This window comes from Homo sapiens, chromosome 9 (genome assembly GCF_000001405.40).
Source record: "Homo sapiens chromosome 9, GRCh38.p14 Primary Assembly".
Classification (NCBI taxonomy): domain Eukaryota; kingdom Metazoa; phylum Chordata; class Mammalia; order Primates; family Hominidae; genus Homo; species Homo sapiens.
The window spans coordinates 6,613,615-6,629,772 of NC_000009.12; the positions used below are offsets into that span (position 1 = coordinate 6,613,615).

General features: G+C 45.0%; 1 protein-coding gene across 1 annotated transcript in view, besides 1 other annotated feature; it reads right to left on the bottom strand.

Annotated features, from left to right (window-relative positions):
- Positions 1–16,158, bottom strand: part of GLDC (glycine decarboxylase) — a 113,263-nt gene that overhangs the window by 81,148 nt on the left and 15,957 nt on the right. Inside the window, exon 3 of the mRNA NM_000170.3 lies at positions 6,570–6,705. Coding sequence (NP_000161.2) covers positions 6,570–6,705 — 136 coding nt within the window. The remainder of the gene's footprint in view (positions 1–6,569; positions 6,706–16,158) is intronic.
- Positions 9,294–10,089: an enhancer, noted in NCBI's record as "NANOG-H3K27ac-H3K4me1 hESC enhancer chr9:6622908-6623703 (GRCh37/hg19 assembly coordinates)". NCBI's record gives its function as "activates a minimal SCP1, AML or CMV promoter by ChIP-STARR-seq in primed H9 embryonic stem cells {active_cell/tissue: H9 hESC(primed)}" and the evidence as "EXISTENCE:reporter gene assay evidence [ECO:0000049][PMID:30033119]".

Below are 16,158 nucleotides of genomic sequence, written 5' to 3' on the forward strand. Positions count from 1 at the left end.
TAATTTCTTCAGGTAAATCTTGATTTATTTAACGAGTTCCTTCCAGTTGAATACTTTTGATTTCAAATATTAGAAATAGCATAATAGTTAAGATCTTTATCTTTGTCTAAGGATACATTCTTAGAAGTAGAATTCCAAATTATATATGATAACTAGTTTTTTGGGGTTTTTATTTTTTTTTAGATAGAGTCTTGCTCTGTCACCCAGGCTGGAGTGCAGTGGCACGATCTCGGCCCAGTGCAACCTCCACCTCTTGGGTTCAAGCCATTCTCCTGCCTCAGCCTCCTGAGTAGCTGGGATTACAGGTGCGTGACACCACACCCAGCTAAATTTTGTATTTTTAGTTGAGATAGGGTTTCACCATGTTGGCCAGGCTGGTCTCGAACTCCTGACCTCAGGTGATCTGCCCACCCTGGCCTCCCAAAGTGCTGGGATTACAGGCGTGAGTCATGTGTAATTATCACGCCCACCCTGATAATTAGTTCTAAGGCTCCCAGAGCATAGTACCATGTTCCTCTCCAGAAAGAGCATATCTGTCTGCATTCTCTTAAACACTACAGTGATTCACAGATATCCTTGCATCTTCAAAACTACTAAGTATTAAGAAGCACTGGCTTTTGGTTTTTGTTTTGTTTTTTGAGACAGAGTCTTGCTCTGTCACACAGACTGGAGTGCAGTGGCCTGATCTTGGCTCGCTGCAACCTCCACCTCCTGGGCTCAAGCAATCCTCCCACCTCAACCTCCCGAGTGGCTGGGACTACAGGCATGCACCACCACGCCCAGCTAATTTTTATATTTTTTTGTAGGGATGGAGTTTCACCATGTTGGCCAGGCTGGTCTCAAACTCCTGGGCTCAAAGACCCACCCACCTCAGCCTCCCAAAATGTTGGGAATACAGGCGTGAGCCACCACGCCCAGCTGAAGCCCTGGGTTTCAATCTTTTTTTTTTTTTTTTGTAGGGACAGGGTTTCACTATGTTGTCCAGGCTGGTCTCAAATTCCTGGGCTCAAGTGATCCTTCCACCTCAGCTTCACAAATTGCTGGGATAACAGGAGTGAGCCACTGTGCCAAGCCTTAATCTTATTAATTTTCTACAGTCATGCATGGCTTAACAGAAATATGCTCTGAGAAATACATCGTTAGGTGATTTAGTCATTGTTGTGTGAACCTCATAGAGTGTACTTACGTGTACTTAGAAGGTATAGCCTACTACACACCTAGGCTACGTGATATAGCCTATCACTCCCAGGCTACCAACATGTAGAGCATGTTACTGTACTGAATACTATAGGCAATTGTACAACAATGGTTAAGTATTTGTGTTTCTAAATACAGAAAAGGTACAGTAAAAATACAGAATTACAATTTTATGAGACCACTGTCATATACACAATCTGTCACTGACCAAAATATCACTACGCAGGGCATGAGTGTACTTGTGAACTGGGATAAATAACTAAACGTCGCTCTAGCCAATATCTCTTGCCTCTCAATGGAAATAACATCACCTATATGAGAGATTTTTCTTAATGCTCAAATCAGACTAATGTACTGTCCAAAGGTTATTCAAGTGAATAATAGCAACTGTAAATTAGCATCTGTAAGTTATTTTGAATTCATAAGACATTCAAAAACTTTTAAAATCCCTAGCTTTCTGTCTATATGTGTCTGTGTATGTTTTAAGACTCAGTATACAGGCCAGGTGTGGTGGCTCACACCTGTCAGCACTTTGGGAGGAAAATCTCTTGGGGCAAGTAGTTCAAGATCAGCCTGGGCAACACAGAGAAACCTTGTCTCTACTAAAAATTTAAAAAAAAAAAAAAATTAGCCTGGCGAGGGGCCTGTAAGTCCCACCTACTCAGGAGGCTGAGGCAGGAGGATTACGTGAGCCAAGGAGTTCCAGTTTACAGTGAGCTATTAGAGCACCACTGTACGCTAGTCCAGGTGACAGACGGAGACCTTGTCTTAAAAAAAAAAAAAAAGACCTAGTATATAACCAGTATTTTCTTTTTTATTGAAACGGAGTCTAACTGTCACCCAGGCTGGAGTGCAGTGGTGCAATCTCCACTCACTGCAGTCTCCTCTTCCTGGGTTCAAGTGATTCTCCTGCTTCAGCCTCCCAAATATCTGAGATTACAGGTGCCTATCACTAGGCCTGGCTAATTTTTTTTGTATTTTTTGTAGAGATAGGGTTTTGCCATGTTGGCCAGGCTGGTCTTGAACACCTGACCTCAAGTGATCTGCCCACCTCGGCCTCCCAAAGTGCTGGGATACAGGCGTGAGCCACCGCACCTGGCCTAATCAGGATTTTCTTTTCTGTTGTTTGTATACAGGCTTGTGCTATGCTACCCAGGCTGGAGTGCAGTGGCTGTTCACCTGTGCGATGATTGGGCACTACAGCCTCAAACTTCTGGACTCACATGATCTTCCTGCCTCAGCCTCCCAAGGAGCTGGGACCACAGGCACAAGCCACCATGCCTGGCTTAGGATCAGTATTTTCAATGACCCATTGGCTCTTGAAAAGTTGGAGTTTTTTTCGTTTTCATCTTTAAAAAAGTTTTTAAAGCATATGCTGATAGACCTTTCCTAAAAGCACTTCTGCAGAATTCTGTTTAGATATTATTACATATTTCCACTTAAAAACTATTTATTCAAATTAGTTACATCTTTTCTGTCCCTTATGTAATATTTCTCTCTCAATCCTTTCATAAGTCCAAGGTGAGGTTAATGTTATTTAGCATTGCTAAAGGTAGAGACCTTTAAAATTGTTGTCTTGCAAATATGCCAAATATGTAATCTCACTCCTTTTACATGTAAACTTCTTGTATTAGTCTAGAGGTTTTTGGCACTACTGAAATTAAACAGGTGTTAATGCTCTTAACAATGATCTATTAAAGGACAGTGAGCCTTGGATCTGAGAGATGACAAATAACCCTCATTTCAGGAGAAAAATACTATCAAAAGGCCTGCCATCATGTTTACAAGAGTTTGACTCAATTAGGTAAAACATAGTGATTAAGAAAACATGCCTGTCATCTATAATGTCTATGTTCCAAATGACTAATTCAACTGGTTTGTTCCTAAATATATTTTAACATATAAAAAGGTATCTGCACATCCAAGAAGGCATTTAGTTCAGCTCAAATAGGATGCTTGATATATTCAACATGGCATTAATATTTAACCCAAAATAATTAGTGTTCTCTATCATTTTGGCTGTGACTTTCTTTTGGAATTGGGAAAGGGGGTTATGGGGGTTTGCAGGACAAACACTCCTGAGATTCTCTCATTTTAATCCTGCTGACAAAAATATACCAAACAGAAATAGCTACAAGGAATATGTAAATGTTCTGATGTTATCAGTAGTTGAAAATTTGGAATAGTGAAACCCATAAAATAAATTCTAGACCTGATGTAAATTTTCTTTCAAGAGCCCAAATGTTTGTTTTCTTTCGAGGCTATGTCATCCATTTATTTTCCCCTCACGTCTCCGGAATTTGTTGGTTCCATCTCTATGGAAACCATTCAGAAGGATGATAATGTGAAATCTACCACCCACATGTGCACAGCCCTCCCTATCAGCGCTGGTGGGGTGTAATATCACTCTCTGGTTCAGATCAGCTTTCAGAGAATAGAAAGAAATAGTATTTAAAATGCACCTGAAAAGTAAATGAAAAGTACAGGACAACATCATCTCCTTCTCAAAACACTGGCTGCTCCTACGGTAAATTAACATCCGCCCACAGCCAGAAAGCAATATGGTGAATATTCTTTATGGCCACCAAGAGCAAAGGCTGCTGGCCAGTATTCAGATGGCTGGAATGCTGCAGCCCGTTCATGTACTTTTGAGGCTTTTCTTAAGGGGGAAGAGAAACAGGCCATTTTCTTTTGAAATTAACCTTGGAATTTACCATTCAAATTTTTACCAATACCACAATGAAAAAGAAGCCTTCATCAATGCAAACGCATTCACAGACGCTACAGAGAAACTAGTTCTTTGATTTTCCTGTCCCCTTATTAATAAAGTGGAGCATATTGAAACTAAGAGTTATGTACAGGGACAGCAATACTGGAATGATTGTGCTGAGAGATCTGGCTCCTATAATGATATGATAAAAATAATTGCATCTACGACAAAGCACATGCACCCACCAGGATTACATTTGCAATGATGGAAAAGCAGACAAAGATGCAAAGTGTTTATCAAATTGTTAACACTCATTGATTGGGAGCATGTACTTGGGTATTTCAAAAGCTCCTGTTGGTACAACTTATGATTTCCCACTTAGTGAAGCCTGCATTCCCTTAAGTAAAGTTGGTTTTTACATATGTTAATCTAAAAGCCAATCTGTGCCCCTTGCTAGGAATACTTTGAATTGCAGAGGCAACCACTTACTCTGTCCTCATGTCATGATGATCCTGCTAGAAATTAAAGTTACCTCTTCCACAAACTAACTTTTAAAAAATCACCTAGGAATTATCACCATACTCCATCTATGTCTGATTTGTTTCCATGCTGGAAATGAAAAGTGGACACCTATATTTTCAAATAAGATGTCTTCCTTTTAAGACTAATTCATCATTTGAAATAAAATTTCAACTCAGTGTTTCTGGTGTATAAAATGGCACCAATCCAAAAAGATGGGAAAAAAGAGCCTAGGAGTCCCCACCTTTCCTCCTCCACAGTTAGACATTATATCCCAGTGAACAGCAGAGGCAGATGTCCTTAACTGCCCAGGCTGGAGTGCAATGCTGCGATCTTGGCTCACCACAACCTCCACCTCCCAGGTTCAAGCAATTCTCCTGCCTCAGCCTCCCAACTAGCTGCGATTACAGGCATGCACCACCACGCCCAGCTAATTTTGTATTTTTAGTAGAGACAGGGTTTTTCCATGTTGGTCAGGCTGGTCTCAAACTCCCAGTCTCAGATGATCCACCCGCCTCAACCTCCCAAAGTGCTGGGATTACAGGTGTGAGCCACCATGCCTGGCCTTTTTGGTTCTTTACATCATACAGCAAACAGCAATGGAAAACAACAAAATAGCATGGAAGTGGACTAGAAGTATTTTCTCAAATGCAGGAGAAATGCTTTCAGTGTTGTTCTATCAGTGAGGACCAGAGTGGGCAGGAGACACAGACATGGATGGACAGACACACACACACACCACACAATCAGTGAGGACCAGAGTGGACAGGAGACAGACACAGATGAACACACACACACACCCCTAGAAGTAGGAGTGACTTGGCTGGGCGCGGTGGCTCACGCCTGTAATCCCAGCCCTCTGGGAGGCCAAGGCGGGTGGATCATGAGGTCAGGAGTTCAAGACCAGCCTGGCCAAGATGGTGAAACCCCGTCTCTACTAAAAATGCAAAAAATTACCCAGGCACACTGGCAGGCACCTGTAATCCCAGCTACTCGGGAGGCTGAGGCAGGAGAATCACTTGAACTCGAAGGGCAGAGGTTGCAGTGAGCCAAGATCATCCCACTGCACTCCAGCCTGGGCAACAGAGTGAGACTCTGTCTCAGGCAAAAAAAAAAAAAAAAAAAAAAAAAAAAAAGAAGAAGTAGGAGTGACTTATCTAACTGTTGAGGTAAGACTGGAATAAGTAACTGAGCATGCATAGCTCAGGCCTCTCTCATATCTTTTCTAGAAGAGCCTGTCTACAGAATGCACATGTTCTCTTTCTCTAGAAAGTGCTAGCAATAAAGCTGATATTATGATCTCCAACACCATGTCTTTTTGTCAGTCAGTTGTGAATCAAAAATTTTGGGGGTGGGAGGGGAAGGGAACACAATTATCTGTCCCCCTTAAAAATCCTGACAGAAGGGCCAGGCGCAGTGGCTCATGCCTGTAATCCCAGCACTTTGGGAGGCTGAAGCGGGCGGATCACCTGAGGTCAGGAGTTCGAGACCAGCCTGGCCAACACGGTGAAACCCCATCTCTACTAAAAATACAAAAATTAGCCGGGGGTGGTTGTGGGTGCCTGTAATCCCAGCTACTTGGGAGGCTGAGGCAGAAGAATTGCTTCAACCTGGGAGGCAGAGGTTGCAGTGAGCCAAGATCACACCACTGCACTCCAGACTGGGATACACAGCAAGACTCCGTCTGGGCAGGGTGGTAGGCGGGGAATCCTGAGAGAAGACAGTGGACCAAGATTCTCTCCCAGACTCCACCAATGACTCAATGAGATAGCTCAGAAGTAGCCTATGTCCCAGGGTCTCCAAGGAGGAGTAAAGGCCTGAATCTGCCCACCTGCAGGTTTCACATCTTACTCAAATACAGCACAGAAATTAAGCTGCAGAAGAGGAAGAGATGACCAGATCCACAATTTAGCATCCTAGTAGATTTTATGGGACTGGAAGTGGGAAGAAACTTCTATTTCCTCAACATTTGAGCAAGAACATTTCTCGATCCAGAGAAACCCGGTAGGTTCCCGGACATTGGAGACAGCACTAGGAGGTGGGTGTCAGTGTGGAGGCTCTGAGACTGCAAGGGGACAGATGGAGGATGGAGAGAATTATGCAAATCACAGTCATCCTGTTCCTGAACTGAGAAATACATTACCATCCTGAGTTCTCCAGTAAGTTCCGCAAAATCGTCTGTGGCACTGAGCAGTTATAATAGCCCATGCCAATATACGATCTCCAGATCTGGTTTTTGCTTGAAATGGCATGCAGAGTTGCAAGGATTTCATTTTCACCTAATTGTGGGAAAAAGAGAAATGTTACAGACAGATGTCTCAGAAAAGAGCTCTAATTACAGTTTAAATCCCTCATTTTGTTTGAGTATTTATGACAGAATAACTATATGGAAAATGTAAGAGTCATCCATCCAACCAACACTAAGTACTGTATGCGACATCTCAAAAAAAAAAAAAGTCCCCAAACAACACTCAATTTCTCCTCAAGGTTGGCCCCCCCATCACTGTTTTGACTGTTCCTTATTCGGTTCTGTTTGCTAGAACTGCCCATTTTAACACTTGCCTCATTCCAGGCTTTTTCTGTTCCCTTTCTATTTCTGCTGTATATACGCTAAATAAAAATTCTGTCTTACTCCCAGTAAAATACTGTGTTTTACCTTCTAAACTGCCTCATACTCTCTGGAAGTAGGCACAGCTTCAGTCTAATTAACACATAATCTACATTTTCTCTAAAATTGTTCTACTCAGTTGCACATTCCTCCTTTGTGTCACTGAAAGGGCAACTTATAAAAAGGCCATCACTCAACAATAGAAAATATCAGTTGTAATCAAAGACCCTCATGCAGGGCTGTGAACAGTGGCTCACACCTGCAATCCCAGCACTTTGAGAGGCTGAGGTGGGCGGATCACCTGAGGTCAGGAGTTCAAGACAAGCCTGGGCAAGGCGGTGAAACCCCGTCTCTACCAAAAAAGGCAAAAAATTAGCCAGGCATGGTGGTTCACACCTGTGGTCCCAGATTCTTGGGAGGCTGAGGTGGAAGGATCACATGAGCCTGGGAGGCAGAGATTGTAGTGAGCTAAGATGGCGCCGCTGCACTCAAACCTGAGTGACAGAGTGAGACCCCCATCTCAAACAAAAACAAAAGCAAAAAAACACACCCTTATGCAGTTTCTACCAGCATTCTCATGAAGGCACTTTGGTTATTAAGAAGTATAAATGTACTTGGATGCAGGTGGGACCCTTTCTCGGGTCATTCATATAATCACAAAATAATAATAGCATTTGACATTTATTGAACATTATTCCACCAGGAATTGTACCATATGCTTTTCGCACAGCCTAGGGTACTGAGGATTGAAGACGGTCACTTGGCTGAGGTCACACGACTTTAAATTAAAGGATTACTAATCCAATCTCACACTTTAACTCACTGGACTAAGTTGAGAGCTGCTACATGGACAGCTCTTATACTGAAGGGTCCTTTTTTGTTTTTTTGAGAGGGAGTCTTGCTCTGTCACCCAGGCTGGAGTGCAGTGGCTCGATCTTGGCTCACTGCAACCTCCACCTCCCAGGTTCAAGCGATTCTTCTGCCTCAGCCTCCTGAGTAGCTGGGACTACAGTCGCACATCACCACACCTGGCTAATTTTTGTATTTTTAGTAGAGATGGGGTTTCACCATATTGGCTAGGCTGGTCTCGAACTTCTGACTTCGTGATCCGCCCACCTCAGCCTCCCAAAGTGCTGGGATTACAGGCGTGAGCCACCGCGCCCTGCCACTGAAGGGTACTTTTTAGATAGAAATGACATCATTTGGTTCTTTCTTTACCTCTCTGCATAGAGATAGATCATGCTACTAAAATTTAACTGGGATTTAACTACTTAGGCAAATGGCTGTCTTCTTTAAGATCTTCTTGGGGACTCAGTCACTTAACCCTGGGAATTGATTATTTTATTTTTCCTCTATCAGAGAAAAACGTAGGTAAAGCAAAACCTAAGACAGCAAACTGGCAAGGAAGACACTTAACATTGTTTTAACCCTATTGAACTCTATCTGAATATTATTTGCATCAATCTTTATCCTCAAGTAAAATACTTTCACCCTCCACCACACACACACAGACACACACACACACACACACACACACACACACTCCGCACTCCACATGCTTTCCCAGGAAATAAATTCACAAGAGATATGGTCCCCCTCCCCCTCCCCCTCTCCCCACGGTCTCCCTCTCCCTCTTTCCACGGGCCGAAGCTGGACTGTGCTGCTGCCATCTTGGCTCACTGCAACCTCCCTGCCTGATTCTCCTGCCTCAGCCTGACGAGTGCCTGCGATTGCAGGCACGCGCCGCCACGCCTGACTGGTTTTCGTATTTTTTTGGTGGAGACGGGGTTTCCCTGTGTTGGCCGGGCTGGTCTCCAGCTCCTAACCGCGAGTGATCCGCCAGCCTCGGCCTCCCGAGGTGCCGGGATTGCAGACAGAGTCTCGTTCACTCAGTGCTCAATGGTGCCCAGGCTGGAGTGCAGTGGCGTGATCTCGGCTCGCTACAACCTCCACCTCCCAGCCGCCTGCCTTGGCCTCCCAAAGTGCCGAGATGGCAGCCTCTGCCCGGCCGCCACCCCGTCTGGGAAGTGAGGAGCCTCTCTGCCTGGCCGCCCATGGTCTGGGATGTGAGGAGCCCCTCTGCCTGGCTGCCCAGTCTGGAAAGTGAGGAGCGTCTCTGCCCGGCCGCCATCCCACCTAGGAAGTGAGGAGCGCCTCTTCCGGGCCGCCATCCCATCTAGGAAGTGAGGAGCGTCTCTGCCCGGCCGCCCATCGTCTGAGATGTGGGGAGCGCCTCTGCCCCGCCGCCCGGTCTGGGATGTGAGGAGCACCTCTGCCTGGCCGCGACCCCGTCTGGGAGGTGAGGAACGTCTCCGCCCGGCAGCCACCCCGTCCGGGAGGGAGGTGGGGGGTCAGCCCCTGCCCGGCCAGCCGCCCTGTCTGGGAGGTGAGGGGCGCCTCTGCCCCGCCGCCCCTACGGGGAAGTGAGGAGCCCCTCTGTCCCGCCACCACCCCGTCTGGGAGGTGTGCCCAACAGCTCATTGAGAACGGGCCATGATGACAATGGCGGTTTTGTGGAATAGAAAAGGGGGAAAGGTGGGGAAAAGATTGAGAAATCGGATGGTTGCTGTGTCTGTGTAGAAAGAAGTAGACATGGGAGACTTTTCATTTTGTTCTGTACTAAGAAAAATTCTTCTGCCTTGGGATCCTGTTGATCTATGACCTTACCCCCAACCCTGTGCTCTCTGAAACATGTGCTGTGTCCACTCAGGGTTAAATGGATTAAGGGCGGTGCAAGATGTGCTTTGTTAAACAGATGCTTGAAGGCAGCATGCTCGTTAAGAGTCATCACCACTCCGTAATCTCAAGTACCCAGGGACACAAACACTGCGGAAGGCCGCAGGGTCCTCTGCCTAGGAAAACCAGAGACCTTTGTTCACTTGTTTATCTGCTGACCTTCCCTCCACTATTGTCCTATGACCCTGCCAAATCCCCCTCTGAGAGAAACACCCAAGAATGATCAATAAAAAAAAAAATAAAAAAAGAGAGAGATATGGTACTTTGCCACAGTAGAGTAAGGAAAGAGAGTCTTGAAGTTATTAGTTTCATGAGTAATATAATCTAACTACCTTATGGAAGATGATCTTGCCTTCTTCCATTGAAAGTTTAGGAAATAAGTAAAAATGCAATAAACCCACATCTGAGAAGATAGGCAAGGACAACATCCCTAGGAACAATCATGCAAAAAGTCCAATCACCTCCCAAATAATCTTCTTAGGGGCAGAATGATTCAGACGCCCAGTAGGAGGAAAGATTAATTAGCAGTGCCTTGTAGGCGAGTCCGGCTTCAATTATGATCCTGTGCAGGGGGGACAGGTCCCTGTTCTGCGTTGGTCCAGCTCTCCAATGACAACAGTCTGTGAAGGGCTCTGTCTGTCAAACTGAGTTTAGCCTTTGGAAATAAAGCTGGATAGTATGATTCTTTTTACAATACAGTAAGATAATTCTACTGATGGTGTGGAAAGGTCACTGAGGGGAGACCCCGGCCCAGGGAGATACAGTAAGAGGCCAGCACTATAGTCCAGGAGGGAGATGGATAAGAGGAGTGTTACAAGTTGAATTGTGTTCCCAAAAATGATGCTTTGAAATCCTAACCCCATGGTACCTCTGAATATAACCTTACTTGAAAATAGGGTCTCCACTGATGTAACCAAGTTAAAATGAGATCATGCTGGATTAGGGTCAGCCGTAATCCAATGATTGGTGTCCTTATAAGAAGAGCAAAATTGGGACACACAGACACACATGCAAGAAGAATGCCATGTGATGATGGCAGCAGAGACTGGAGCAATGTATCCACAGGCCAAGGAACCTGGGAGAGAGGCAGGGAACTGATTCTCCTTCAGAGCTTCCAGAAATGAGCCAACCCTGCCAACATCTTGATTTCTGACTACGGAACTGGGAGTGAACAGGTTCCTGTTGTTTTAAGCCACCTAGTTTGTGGTACTATATTACATGGCAGCCATAGGAAACTAATTAAAAAAACTGTATCAGTCATTTTTAGGAGACACGATAATACTCTTGGGCCCAGCTGGCCAGTTAAAAAAGGCTCAGGTTGGTGGGGCACGGTGGCTTACACCTGTAATCCCAGCACTTTGGGAGGCTGAGGCAGGAGGATCACTTGAGGTCAAGGAGTTCAAGACCAGCCTGGCCAACATGGTGAAACCCTGTCTCTACTAAAAACACAAAAATTAGCTGGGCCTGGTGGCATGTGCCTGTAATCCCAGCTACTTGGGAGGCTGACACAGGAGAATCGCTTGAACCAGGGAGGCGGAGATTGCAGTGAGCTGAGATCACGCCACTGCACTCCAACCGGGGCAACAGAGCGAGACACTGTCTCCAGAAAAAAAAAAAAGGCTCAGGTGAACTCCAGCACTTTGCCAGAGACATGGTTTCCCACACATCATTAAGATTCTACTAGTGGAAGTAATCGACCCCAATAGCATCATTCTCTTTACTAACTAACATTATCCTCTGGCTTAAGAGAGCTGGTGCTATGGTTCTGGGATATGTTGGAAGTCTGTGCAGAGGGGTGCAGCAGCCTCCCCAACAATCCCTCAGTGACCCGGCCGGAGGTCAAACCAGCACCGCCAGTTATCCAGCCCAAAGATTTGCACTGATTGCTCTCTCACTCACACGGCCTGGCATGGGAAAGGGAAGCAATATGGCCTTGCAGTCACGTTGTTCCACAAGCAGCACGGCTGAGAGAACCAACTCAATGGCTGACTTTATTTGGCTGCATGCCTGGAGAAAAATAATATTATAGTAGTTGAAATAATTAGAAATAGCTAAATGGACATTGATGGGAGCCAAAAGGGTTACTGAAACCAACAGTCCTCATAGTAAGTGAAACCGCTAAGGTAATTCTTCCAGTGCAGGACTCTCCTTCCTCATACCCAGCCCCAGGAGACACAATAGGATTAGAGGGATAGGAATTTGGCTATTGTGCCAAGAGCCAAAATTACAGTCCCTCACTAGGTACTGTAGCAAAAATCTAGCTCCCGCTGCATATAGAGGTGCTCAAATGTGTTGTTTTGATTTTGCTTGTAGACTTTTGGAAGGTCTCTTTACTATGGTTTTATTTTCCACTCCTATGATAGTAGCCCTAGCTGTTATGTTCATTCCCACTGATAGGAAAGGTGGGGTTAACGTTTTATGGGTCTGCAGCAGAGGCCACCTCCTGAGAAGGAGTAGATAGGATCTCACCCAAAGGAAGGGGAAGAGTAGGACCCAAGTTTTCTGAAAAATGCACTTCAAGGACTCAGATTCAGGAAAGTCATGGAGGTGATAGAAGCCCTGGAGCTCGGGGCTAGAAGCTGAGAAGAATCCTGAACTAAATCAAACTCCAGATCGCTTCCCTCTGAGAACACAAAATGCCACCCCTCTGCCTGCCTTCAGCAAAAATCTATGCTCTCGCCCCATAGAGAGGTGCTCAAATGTGTTTAGATTTTGCTTGCAGACTTTTGGAAGGTCTCTTTACTATGGTTTATTTTCCACTCCTGTGATAGTAGCCCTAGCTGTTATGTTAATTCTCACTGATAGGAAAGGTAGGGTTAAAGTTTTATGGGTCTGCAGCAGAGGCCACCTCCTGAGAAGGAGTAGATAGGATCTCACCCAAAGGAAGGAGAAGGCTAGGATCCCAGGAAGGGGGTGGGGCACCACCCCAGTCCTGACAATTAGCTCCAGGAGACCAGTCAAGAAGCGCAATTGACTACAGAAGGAGCAGGATTGAAATAAAAAGATAAAAAATAAAAAGAAGCAGCTCAATTGAATGGGAGTATTGCGGAAGATAAAAATGGTAGTTTATTTTTTCACTTGACAGAAGAAGAAACACAAGAACTAAGATGGTGCCTGCCACTGTGTTTCAAGACTGTGGGTCTTTATAATTAATTATTTTGTTCTTCATTTATACTAATTGGCCTTTTAAAAATTTCAAGTGTTTCATTCAAATGTGAAAATCATCAGAGCTGCTATGGGGGATGGTGATGTCTGAAGTCCCTAGACTCTCAAGTAAAGAGAGATTTGAATTTTCCTTTCACAAGAAAACCCATTCTCTCATACCTCTCCGCACAGGTGTCCAGGAGGTAATAGGTAAAGGTCAAGCCCCTTGCGAGAGAGCCCTGACTACAGCCCAGTTCCCATCTCCCTCCCTTCAGTCACCACCTGCCACTCAGGCACTGGTCATGCCCTGCCCCATGTCCTCAAACAGTAAGGAAGAGAAGATGCCACATTAGACCAGCCAGGAACCCACTGGCCCAATTCATCAGTTCTGGGTCTCCAGATACAAATCAGCATCCTGCAGAGCAGCCACTGATGTCTTACACACTTTAATTAAATACCTGAAATTTTTAAAAGGCAAACTAGTGGGCCGGGCGTGGTGGCTCATGCCTGTAATCCCAGCACTTTGGGAGGCTGAGGCGGGTGGATCACAAGATCAGGAGATCGAGACCATCCTGGCTAACACGGTGAAACCCCATCTCTACTAAAAATACAAAAAAATTAGCCAGGTGTGTTGGCGGGCACCTGTAGTCCCACCTACTCGGGAGGCTGAGGCAGGAGAATGGCGTGAACCCAGGAGGCAGAGCTTGCAGTGAGCCGAGATCACGCCACTGCACTCCAGCCTGGGCAACAGAACGAGACTCCATCTCAAAAAAAAAAAAAAAAAAAGGCAAACTAGCTTAAATAAAGAACAAAATATTAATTATCTGTAAGACCCAGAAGCATAAAAACTGTCAAACATGAGACAAAGAAGTTTCTAAGGTGATAAATATATACTCTAGTCTCTATAGGACCACCCAAACTTCTCAAGCACCTGTGGACTCTGCCCCTATCCAGCTTGGGACTAATGAGTTTTCCTGGATTGGTTCTCATGATAGCTTGGTAGTTATGCCCAATTTTACCTTCTGTTGAGAACAAAGTGAGTTAATAGAATGAGCTGTCCCCTATACAACAAGTTAATGGACATTTTCGAGCCATTAAGAGTAGGTCCCTAGTCACGCTTCTTTCCATTCACTCATCCATTGCCCAACACTACAAAACTTCCCAACAAAAACTTCCCAGCTAGAAGCCAAGACAGTCTGTGACTTGATGAACAGAGGGGTAAGCTGCTTCTTACTGTGATAAAATCTAAGACCTCAGGCTTCCACACCCACATATAATAAAAAGAATTCCCCAAACATACAGCCTAGTGAGTGTCTGAATTGTTTCAAATGTTTGTTCACTGGTTGCCATTTCTCAGACCCACTCATGAAATATCACTTTGGCCAGATCTGCAGGAGAACAAACCCAGTGTACCTAGAAGCCCAGAGTTTGAGTAACTTTGGTGTCAAGATAGCAATAGATGCAGAGAAAAGGAGAGAAGACAGAAAAGTCCATGATCAGAGATCTACCTGCTGAACCAACCTGAAACTGAACTTCACAGAATCCAGTGTCTAAGTCCAAGTTAAGGGACATGATGATGTCTAAATAAAACCCCAAATCCTAACTAAGGACACAATTCCTACCACTGTACACCTCTTCTCCCGTGGAAAAGAGCTACCTTTCTAGAGGAAACAGTATGGGGTCCTTCAATCCCAAAGTGGCAGCCTTTTCCTCCTGAGTAGTAAAAGAAGCATTCTGAGAAGGTGATTGTGCCATCCAAACCTTGGAAAGCAAATGGGAAAAGGGAAAAAGAAAACTAGATTTTCCCCCCAGAGCAAAGCTCACAGCAGAGCACATTCCTCACCCTTTTCCTTTCAACTGGACAAAACCAGCTTGCTCCTGTGCACAAGCCTAATTCCTGAACATGAACTACAATGAAACTAACCAGGGGGGAAAGAGACCAAATGAGAAAAGGGGGAATCCATTAAGAAACGCTTGAAGGCTGGGGGCAGTGGCTCACGCCTGTTAATCCCAGCACTTTGGGAGGCCGAGGCAGAAGGATTGTTTGAGCCCAGGAGTTCGAGCCTGACCAACATAGTGAGACCTCGTCTCTACAAAAAAAAAGTCAAAGAATGAGACAGGAGGATTGCTTGAGCCTGGGAGGTGGAGGCTGCAGTGAGCAGTGATTGCACCAATGCACTCCCACCTGGGTGACAGAGTGAGACCCTGCCTAAAGAAAAAGAAACACTTGGAGACAAGATGGCATCTTCCGGATCCTTGCCTACAGCTATGCAGGGCAGCCAGCAGCTGTGCATTATTTTGCACTCTCAGCCATGAAGGAATTCAGGCAATCCTTCAGGAACCTACACAGTAAATTCTTTTCTTGCAGAATAAATGCCTGCTTCTGACCTTGTTTATTCTGCCTCAGAGCATTGCATAATCTCCTGGTCCTAATGTACCAAGAACAGAGTTCAGTGGCCTCTAGGCATCACTTCCTAAGAATCTGCAGGTAAGAACTTGCGCTGCTTCTGCTTGCTAAATTCTGCTTCTCAGAATTTAGAATGAATGCTTCCTCTTTACATCATTCCACATAAGAGCCCTTCTATAGCAACTCCTTTGCCACTGCGCCTAAAATAGCAACAGTTTTGCACTAACCACTGCATCAAATAAATACTTTCCAATAGCAATAAGATGATTTTGCTGTTAAATATTCATTTTTTTTTTTTTTGAGATGGAGTCTTCTGTTGCCCAGGTTGGAGTGCAATGGTGCGATCTCGGCTCACTGCAACCTCCGCCTCCTGGGTTCAAGCGATTCTCCTGCCTCAGCCTCCCGAGTAGCTGGGATTAGAGGCACCTGCCACCATGCCCGGCTAATTTTTGTATTTTTGGTGGAGACAGGGTTTCACCATATTGGACAGGCTGGTCTTGAACTCCTGACCTCAGGTGATCTGCCTGCCTCGGCCCCCAAGTAGCTGTTAAATTTTCAATACATTACTAGGACTAGGTTTTAATATCCTGTTTATGTGAATTTCCACAAGAACTGGAAAAATGTCATTAAAATGGACAGGCAATCTGTATGAGTCAAGATACCTGCTACAACTAAACACACACACACACACATGCACACATTGTTTCCCATCCTTAACCCATTACCCCAAACATAACCCTACAATTTCTTTTGGCCTCAATTATAAGGGAAAATGTATTCAGGTTTTGCTTTTTGCTTCTTTGACAATCTAAAAATGCTATACCTAAAGTTTTACAC